General features: G+C 38.5%; 1 pseudogene; it reads right to left on the reverse strand.

Annotated features, from left to right (window-relative positions):
- CCNT2P1 (cyclin T2 pseudogene 1) lies at positions 1,480 to 9,388 on the reverse strand (annotated as a pseudogene).

Raw genomic sequence — 11,113 nt, forward strand, 5'->3', positions numbered from 1 at the left:
AGTTGGTTGCCTGTAAACCTAGATCCATAGTTCAGAACCATTATACAAACTTGAGTTATCATACTGTGGTTGTATTATTCTTTTAAAACTTTGTACCTGTTGTTGGTCAAATTTCTACAGACATACAACACCTAACAGAGTAATGTTGTCAAGCGCTTCAGAAGAATACTTTCAACACCTATGGAATTGACAAAATTGAACTTGCCAGGGAACTCCAGGAAAACTTAGCCTGACAGCCACTCCTTTAGACCTCCTTGTTGCTCAAATGTGACCAGAAGAATCTTGACATTGACTCGGAATTGTTAGCTATCACCCCTCCCTCCCAATGTGGGACCAGACCAACCAGGACAGGTCGATTCCAGCACTGAAGGACAATTAAAACCTAACTGCAGATTGATTTAGCAGCAATGCTTTCAGAGAAAGGTCTTGATCAAAAGGGGAAAATATAAAAGCTGCCTATGGCAAAATTGAGTCACTTATATTAGACCCAAGGCTGCACAGCTGGCAGGTCATGAAGGAGGGGTCCTCATGCTTGTATGTCTGAGATAAGAACTATTACCAAGACTCTCTGAAGGCCTGAGGCACATATGCCCATGGTAAGAACTATTATAAGAACTCTCTGAAAGCACAAAAAATTCCAGATAAATTGCTTCTATGAAGACATCTTCCCAACGGCAATTAGTGTTACCAATGAGTAATCACCAGTCCCTGCAATGGGCTTCTGTGACTGATCAACTTTAAGACAGCTTGCATGAACTTCCCCCTTTTGCCTTAATAGCTTCTCCTTGTCCTAACATCTTTGAATATGCCTATGATCTGTTCTAGCACTCATATCCCAGATTATAATTCCCTGCTTGTTCCTGAATAAATGTATGTCTTTGAAGAACCACTCTCTCTGTTGCTCTTTTAGGTAGACAAAACTTATAAATGAATTAAGTAAAGTTTCAGAATACAAAATTAATGTTAAAATATCACTTGCATTTCTTGCATCAATAACAAACTATCTGAAAAAGAAATAAAGAAACAAACCTATTCATGAAAGCTTCAAAAAGAATAAAATACCTAGGAATAAATTTAACCAAGGAAGTGAAACACCTGCACATTGAAAAAAATCCATAAAGATCCAGTGTTTATGGATTAGAAGAATTAAAATTGTCAAAATGTCTATACTACCCCAAAAGATCTACAGATTCAACACAATCTTTATCAAAATTCCAAATGCATTTTTTTTTACAAAAATAGAAAAAAAAGTCTAAAATTTTTGTGGAATCATAAGATACCTAGAGTAGTCAAAACAATCAAGAGAAAGAAAAACATTGTTGGAGAAATCATACTTCTTGATTTCAAATTATATTATAAAGCAATAGTAATCAAAACAGTATGGTTCTGGCACAAAAACAGACACATAGCCCAATGAAGCAGAATAAACAGTGCAGATATAAATTCCAACCTTACACGTCAACTAATTTTCCACAAGGACAGCTCTTCTTTATTGGTGCTTTTATCAGTATGTGGTACTAAAATCCATAATTTCAGTCCTGCACATTAAGATCAAGAGTTTCTAGCTTACATTTTTTTTCTATATTTATCTGAAGATATTTTCTAAGGAATTATTCTAAGTGTAGCAGAAATTGGCCCATGGTGTTTACTGCTGCCCGCTTTATGAGTATAGTCTTGCTTAATAGAAGAATGATTAGAAATTTTGTCAGGTCTGTGATGTAATCCTGAATGCAGTAATATAGAAGGTCCTTGTTGTAAATTGATGTAGTACTGGCTACTAGACAAAAATATCTCCTGCTTCTGTGAATATATCTGTTCTGTCCTTGCTGATTCTTGATGTTGAGGCCATTCCTTGTGTGATGGCAAATGTATGAGATATTTGACATTCCTGTTGCTAACATTGACAAATTATCAGTATATGACTGTCTTTTACAGAAATATTGCCTGAATTTAGAAGTACTAGCCTAGCCTGACCCTGACCCATCCTTCCTCACTGGACAGGGCCTTCCTGCAGGAACTCCACCAACTCCAGCCAGAGGCTCAGGAACAAAACCCTGATCTCCTAGGGCCTGAGCCCCTAGGGGGAGAGGTGGCCACAGTCTCTGCAGACCAGCAGACTTAGCCTTTCCTGCTGGTAGTTCTGAGGAATCCAGGCAGCCCAGATGAGCGGGTTTCCCCCCAGCGAAGCACACCCCCTCCACTAAGGGACAGTCAAGTGCTTCATTAAATGGGTCCTGTTCCCCCTGCCACCCAGCTGGTTGAGGACCTCCAACAGGGGTTGTCAGACACTTTATACAGGAGCAATGCTACTGGCATCAGGTTGGTGCCCCTTGAGGTCAGAGATCCCAGAAGGAGCAGGCACCCATTTTTGCTGTTATCCAGCCTCCTTGAGTGACAACTCCAGGCATGGGAGTGAACCAGATGAATAGGGCCTGAAGTGAACCCCAGCAAATCGCAGCAGCCCTACAGAACAGGCACCTGACCATTGAAAGAAAACCAAACAGAAAGCAACAACAACAGCATCATCAACAACAAAAAAACTCCACAAAAACCCCATCCAATGGTCAGCAACCTCAAAGATCAAAACTAGACAAACTCATGTAGATGAGAAACAATCGATGAAAAAATGCTGAAAACTGAAAAGGCCAGAGTGCCTCTTCTTCTCCAAATGATCACAACATCTCTCCAGCAAGGACACAGAAATGGACAGAGGATGAGATGGATGAATTGACAAAGATAGGCTTCAGAAGATGGGTAATAAAAAAAACTTTGGTGAGCTAAAGGAGCATGTTCTAACCCAATGCAAAGAAGCTAAGAACCTTGATAAAAGGTTAGAGGAGCTGCTAACTAGAATCACCAGCTTAGAGGGGGACATAAATGACCTGATAGAGCTGAAAAACACAGCATGAGAACTTTGTGAAGCATACACAAGTATCAATAGCCAAATCGACCAAGCAGAAGAAAGGATATCAGAATTTGAAGACCACTTTGAGTTTGAAACAAAGCATACAGACAAGGTTCGAGAAAAAAGAATGACAAAAAAACAAACAAACAAAGCCTCCAGAAATATGGGACTACGTAGAAAGACCAAACCTATGATTGATTGGAGTACCTGAAGGAGACGAGGAGAATGGGAACAAGCTGGAAAACACACTTCAGGATATTACTCAAGACAACTTCCCCAACCTATCAAGATGGCCAACATGCAAATTCCCAAAATGCAGAGGACACCACTAAGATACTCCACGAGAAGGACAACTCCAGGACATATAATCACCAGATTCTCCAAGGTCAAAATGAAGGAAAAAGTGTTAAGGGCAGCCAGAGAGAAAGGCCAGGTCACCTACAAAGGGAAGACCATCAGACTAATAGTGGACCTCTCAGCAGAAACTCTACAACCCAGAAGAGATTAAGGGTCAATATTCGACATTCTTAAAGAAAAGAATTTTCAACCCAGAATTTCATATCCCACCAAACTAAGCTTCATAAGCAAAGGAGAAATAAAATATTTTTCAGATAAGCAGATGCTGAGGGATTTTATTACCACCAGGCCTGTCTTGCAAGAGCTCTTGAAGGAAGCACTAAATATAGAAAGGAAAATCTGGTACCAGCCACTGCAAAAATACACCAAAATAAGAAGATCAATGACACTATGAAGCAACCGCATCAACTAGTGTGCAAAATAACCAGATAGCATCACGATGACATGATCAAATTCACACATAACAATACTTACAAATGGGATAACTACCCCAATTAAGAGACACAGACTGGGAAATTGGATAAAAAGTCAAGACCCACCAGTGTGCTGTATTCAGGAGATTCATCTCACGTGCAAATACACACATAGGCTCAAAATAAAGGGATGAAGGAAAATTTACCAAGCAAATAAAAAGCAAAAAAAAAAAAAACCAACGAAAAACAAACCATGGGGTTCAACCCTAGTCCCTGACAAAACAGACTTTAAACCAACACATTTCAAAAAAGACAAAGAACGGCATTGCATAATGGCAACAGGATCAATTCAATGAAAAGAGCTAACTATCCTAAATATACAGGCACCCGATACAGGAGGATCCAGATTCATAAAACAAGTTCTTAGAGACCTACAAAGAGACTTAGACTCTCACACGATAATAGTGAGAGACTTTAGCACCCCACTGTCAATATTAGACAGATCAATAGACAGAAGATTAACAAGAATATTCAGGACTTGAACTCAGCTCTGGATCAAGTGGACCTAAGAGACATCTACAGAACTCTCCATCCCAAATCAACAGAATACACATTCTTATCAGTGCCACATGGCACTTATTCTAAAATCGACCACATAATTGGAAGTAAAACACTCCTCAGCAAATGCAAAAGAACTAAATCATAACAAACAGTATCTCAGACCACAGTGCAATCAAATTAGAACTCGGGATTAAGGAACTCACTCAAAACCACATGATTAACCACCCTGGCTAACACGGTGGAACCCCGTCTCTACTAAAAATACAAAAAATTAGCCCGACGTAGTGGCGGGCGCCTGTAGTCCCAGCTACTCCGGAGGCTGAGGCAGGAGAATGGCGTGAACCCGGGAGGCGGAGCTTGCAGTGAGCTGAGATTGCACCACTGCACTCCAGCCTGGGTGACAGAGCCAGACTCCGTCTCAAAAAAAAAAAAAAAAAACAAAAAAAAAACCACATGATTACATGGAAATTGAAAAACCTGCTCCTAAATGACTGCTGGGTAAATAATGAAATTAAGGCAGAAATCAAGAAGTTCTTTGAAACCAATGAGAACAAAGAGACAATGTACCGGAATCATTGGGATACAGATAAAGCAGTGTGTAGAGAAAAATTTATAGCACTAAATACCTACATCAGAAAGTCAGAAATAACTCAAATCGACACCCTAACATCACTATTAAAAGAGCTAGAGAACCAAGAGCAAACGAATCCAAAAGCTAGCAGAAGACAAGAAATAACTAAGTTTAGAGCATAACTGAAAGAGATAGAGACACAAAAAACCCTCCAAAAAATCAGAGTCCAGAAGTTGTTTTTTTGAAAAAATTAACAGGATAGACTACTAGCTAGACTAATAAAGAAGAAAAGAGAGATGAATTAAATGACACAATAAAAAATAATAAAGGGGATATCACCACTGATCCCTACAGAAATACAAACTACCATCAGAGAATACTATAAACATCTATACGCAAATAAACTAGAAAATCTAGGAAAAATTGACAAATTCCTGGACACATACAGCCTCCCAAGACTAAACCAGGAAGAAGTCAATCCCTGAATAGATAAACAAAAAGTTCTGAAATTGAGGCAGTAATTAATACCCTACCAACCAAAAAAAAAAAAAAAATCCCAGGACCAGATGGTTTCCCAGCTGAATTCTACCAGAGGTACAAAGAGGTGATGATACCATTGCTTCTGAAACTATTCCAAACAGGTGAAAAGGAGGGACTCCTCCCTAACTCATTTTATGAAGCCAGCCTCATCCTGATATCAAAACCTGCCAGAGACAAAACAACAAAAAAAGAAAACTTCAGGCCAATATCCCTGGTGAGCATCAATGTGAAAATCGTCAATAAAATATTTGCAGACCAAATTCAGCAGCACATCAAAGAACTTATCTACCATGATCAAGTCAGCTTCATCCCTGTGATGCAAGTCTGGTTCATCATATGCAAATAAATAAATGTAACCCATCGCATAAACAGAACCAAATACAAAAACCACATGATTGTCTCAATAGATGCAGAAAAGGTCTTCAATAAAATTCAACGTCCCTTTATGCTAAAAACTCCCAATGAACTAGGTACTGATAGAACATGTCTCAAAATAATAAGAGCCATTTATGACAAACCCACAGCCAGTAGCATATTGAATGGGCAAAAGCTGGAAGCATTCCCTTGGAAAACCATTACAAGAAAAGGATGCCCTCTCTCACCACTCCTATTCAACATATTATTGGAAGTTCTGGCCAGGGCAATCAGGCAAGAGAAAGAAATAAAGGGTATTCAAACAGAAAGAGAGGAAGTCAAATTGTCTCTGTTTGCAGATGACATGATTCTATATTTGGAAAATCCCAATATGTCAGACCAAAACTCCTCAAGCTGATAAGCAACTTCAGCAGATTCTCAGGATACAAAATCAATATGCAAAAATCACAAGCATTCCTTGACATCAACAATAGACAAGCAAAGAGACAAATCACGAATGAACTCCCATCCACAATTGCTACAAAGAGAAGAAAATACCTAGAAATACAGCTAACAAGGAATGTGAAGGACCTCTTCAAAGAGAATTACAAACCACTGCTCAAGGAAATAAGAGAGGGCACAAATGGAAAAACATTCCATCCTCATGGATAGGAAGAATCAATATCATTAAAATGGCCATACTGCCCAAAGTAATTTGTAGATTCAATGCTATTGAATTGAATGCATCAAACTACCATTGATATTCTTCACAGACTTAGAAAAAAACTACTTTAAATTTCATATGGAATCAAAGAAACCCCCATATAGCCAAGACAATCCTAAGCAAAAAGAACAAAGCTGGAGGTATCACACTACTGACTTCAAACTATACTAGAAGGCTACAATAACCAAAACAGCAAGGTACTTGTATCAAAACTGACATATAGACCAACGGAACAAAACAGAGACCTCAGAAGTAACACCACACATCTAAAACCATCTGATCTTTGACAAATCTGACAAAAAAGAAGCAACAGGGAAAGGATCTCTTATTCAATAAATGGTGTAAATAGTGCTGGAAAAACTGGCTAGGCATATGGAGAAACTGGACCCCTTCTTTACACCTTATACAAAAATTAACTCGAGATGGATGAAAGACTTAAATGTAAAACCCAAAACCATAAAAACCCTAGAAGAAAACCTAGGCCATACCATTCAGGACATAGGCATGGGCAAGACTTCATGAATAAAACACCAAAAACAATTGCAACAAAAGCAAAAATTGACAAATGGGATCTAATTAAACTAAAGAGCTTCTGCACAGCCAAAGAAACTAACATACCTGCAGAATGGGAGAAAATTTTTGCACTCTACCCATCTGACAAAGGTCTAATATCCAGAATTTACAAGGAACTTAAACAAATTTACAAGAAAAAAATAAACAATCCTATCAAAAAGTGGGCAAAGGATATGAACAGACACTTCTCAAAAGAAGACATTTATGTGACCAAAAAACAGGAAAAGAAGCTCAACATCACTGATCACTAGAGAAATACAAATCAAAACCACAATGAGATACAATCTCACACCAATCAGAATAGTGATTATTAAAATGTCAAGAAACAATAGATGCTGGTGAGGCTGTGGAGGGAATGTAAATTAGTCCAACCATTGTGGAAGACAGTATGGTGATTCCTCAAGGATCTAGAACCAGAAGTACCATTTGACCCAACAATCTCATTACTGAGTATATAACCAAAGGAACAAAAATCATTCTACCATAAAGATACATGCACATGTATGTTTATTGCAGCACTATTTACAATAGAAAAGTCACAGAACCAACCCAAATGTCCATCAATGATAGACTGAATAAAGAAAATGTGGTACATACACACTGTGGAATACTATGCAGTCATAAAGAAGAATGAGATCACGTCCTTTGGAGTGACATGGATGAAGCTGGAAGTCATAATCCTCAGCAAACTGACACAGGAACAGAAAACCAAACACCACATGTTCTTACTCATAAGTGGGAGTTGAACAATGAGAACACATGGACGCAGGGAGGGAAACAACACACACCAGAGCCTGTTGGGGGATTGGGGGTGACAGGAGGGAATTTAGAGGTTGGGTCAATAGGTGCAGCAAACCACCATGGCACATGTATACCTAAGTAACAAACCTGCACATTCTGCACATGTATCCCGGAACTTAAAGTAAAATAAAATGAATTTAAATTTTCTTAAAAAAGAAAATGTGGTACATATACACCATGGAATACTATGCAGCTGTGAAAAAGAATGAGTTTATGTCCTTTGCAGAGACATGGATGAAGCTGGAAGCCGTCATCTTCAGCAAATTAACACAGGAACAAAAAGCCAAACACCACATGTTCTCACTCATAAGTGGGAGTTGAACCATGAAAACACATGGACACAGAAAGGGAAACAATGCACACCAGGGCCTGTTGGGGGGCTGGGGAGGGTGAGGGGAGGGAACTTAGAGGATGGGTCAATAGGTGCAGCAAACCACCATGGCACACGTATACCTACATAACAAACCTGCACGTTCTACACATGTATTCTGAAACTCAATTTAAAAAAAAAAAAGAAAAGAAGTGGCCTAGGGAATGCCAATGTAGATCATTTCTGAAAACGTGGGTTTATAGGTACATCAGTGTTACTATCTATTAAAATGGAATTCTGGACCAAAGATAAAGAAATGGTGTCTCTGATAAATATCATCTATTTTTGGTTTATTAAATGCCTGATTGGTCTTTGAGCTTCTAATCCTTTTCAACTTTAGAAACTCATATTTTAGCTCATCTAATAATTCTAGAGTAACTGTAGAATCCACATATTACCACCAAGGCTTTCCATCAATTGATGCAGGAATCTCTCAATGGGATCATTTGCAAGTCAAATGAATGTATACATATGCTATCACTGTTGGTTTGTACTGAAGAGAGAAGGTTGTGAGATGCAGACTGTTTATAGCCATCAAATAAGATGTCTGTGTCAAATCCTTGCTTGCCCTTACTAACTTGGTATGTTTTACCACATCTGATTGTGGATGTTCAATGCTGATCTCAAAATCTGGTGTTTGTAGGGTTATGGTTTCAATTAAAACCAGTTCTTGAGTCTGTTGAAAGTAAGTACCACATTTAGTATCCAGCACTGTAGGGAGTGAAGACAAGCATGTGCTACTTTAATAACATGTTCAAGTTTCTGAGCCTGTTCCTCCCCTTTCACTGCCAAAGAATTACATGGTTGACAGTATTACCCACACTCCTCACAGAAGTATTTGTTTCCTCTAAAGAGAGCTCAATTTTCATCTTCCTTTAGTGCAACACTGATACCCAGCACTCTTCCAAAGTTTCTGGTGAAATCCACTAATTCATTCACATTGCCTCCTAGTCAGTCTGCAGACATTTTACTCCATCAAGGATTCCTACTGAATTTAGTGAAAGAATAGTACATACAAACAATTGCAGTGTTTACTGTAAGCTGAGAGACATTGAGATGCTATCCAATGTCTTGGATGAGGTTGGCCACCTGCTGGCAGTATGGGACCTCTTTATCGACCTGCACTTCACAGTGGCTACTTGGCCTGCTTTCCAGCTGTTCCCTAGTAAGAGCCAATGAGAAGAAGCTCCACGCCTGGCACCATGACACTTCTTCCTCCCCACAAATTATATCTTTTTCTTTTAACTGGCATACAATAATCGTACACATTCATGGGGTACATAGTGATATTTCAATACATATAATGTACAGTGAGCAGATAAAGGTAATTAGCATAGCATATTCACCATCTTGAACATTTATTATTTCTTGAACATTCAGTTCTTGAACATCTTGAACATTCAGTTTTTTTATTCTAGCTGTTTGAAGCTATATAATATATTATTGTTAACTATAGTAATTCTACAGGGCTATAGAACACTAGAATTTATTCCTCCTATCTAACTACAATTTTGTATCCTTTAGGAAATTTTCTCTATTCTCCTCTTTCCCCTACCTTTACCAACTTCTAGTATCTTCTGTTCTACTTTTCACTTCTATGAGATCAGCATTTTTAGCTTCCATTATATGAGTAAGAATATGCAGTGTTTTACTTTCTATTCCTGGATTACTTCACTTAATATAATGTCTTCTAGTTCCATCCATGTCATGGCAAATGATGGAATTTTATTCTTTCTATGACTGAATAATATTCCATTGTGTGTATATATACCACATTTGCTTTATCCATTAATCTTTTGTTGGAAATCTAGGTTGATTTCATGTCTTGGTTATTGTGAATAGTGCTGCAATAAACATGGGGGTGCAAATGTCTCTTCAGTATTCTGATTTCCCTTCCTTTGGATAAATGCCCAGTAGTGAGACTGCTAGATCATATGGTAGTCCTATCTGTAGTTGTTTGAGAACCCTCCATACTGTTCTTTATGGAAGCTGTAGTAGTTCACATCCACACCAATAGTGTACAAGAGTTCTATTTTTTCTGCATCTTCACCAGCACTTGTTATTTTTTGTCTTTTTGATAATAGCCATCCTAACTGGGGTGAAATGATACCTCACTGTATTTTTGTTTTTGTTTTCCTGAGATGGAGTCTCACTCTGTCACCCAGGCTGGAGTGCAGTGTGGCACGATCTGAGCTCATTGCAGCCTCCGCGTTTTGGGTTCAAGCAATTGTCCTGTTTCAGTTTCCCAAGTAGCTGGGACTACAGGCACGCACCACCATGCCCAGTTAATTTTTTTTATTTTTAGTAGAGATGAGGTTTCATCATGCTGGCCAGGCTGGTCATGAACTCCTGACCTCAGTGGATCCACCTGCCTCGACCTCCCAAAGTGCTGGGATTGCGGGCGTGAGCCACCGCGCCCAGCCCTCACTGTGGTTTTGACTTGCATTTCTCTGATGCGTAGCGATGTTGAGTGTTTTTGTATATTGATTTATTAGCCATTTGTATGTCTTCTTTTGAGAAATGTCCGTTCATATTATTTGCCCCCTTTTTATTGAATTGTTTGTTCTTTTGCTGTTGAGATATTTGAGTTTCTTGTGTATTCTGGATATTAATCCCCTATTGGGTGAATAGTTTGAAAATATTTTCTCCCATTTTGTAGGCTGTCTTTTCTTTATGTTGATTATTTTCTTTGTTATATAGAGCTTTTTTAGTTTTATATAGCCCCATTTGTTTTTGCTTTTGTTACCTGTGTGTTTGAAGTCTTATTCATAAAATCTTTTCCCAGACCAATGTCCTGAAGTGTTTCTACTATTGTTTTTTCTAGTGGTCTTACAGTTTGAGGTCTTAGATTTGGTTATTTGTCCCATTTGGAGCTTATTGTTGAATAGGGTGAGAGGTGGGAGTTTAGTTTCATTCTTCTGCACATAGGTATCCAGTTTTCCCA

Source organism: Homo sapiens, chromosome 1, assembly GCF_000001405.40.
Source record: "Homo sapiens chromosome 1, GRCh38.p14 Primary Assembly".
NCBI lineage: Eukaryota > Metazoa > Chordata > Mammalia > Primates > Hominidae > Homo > Homo sapiens.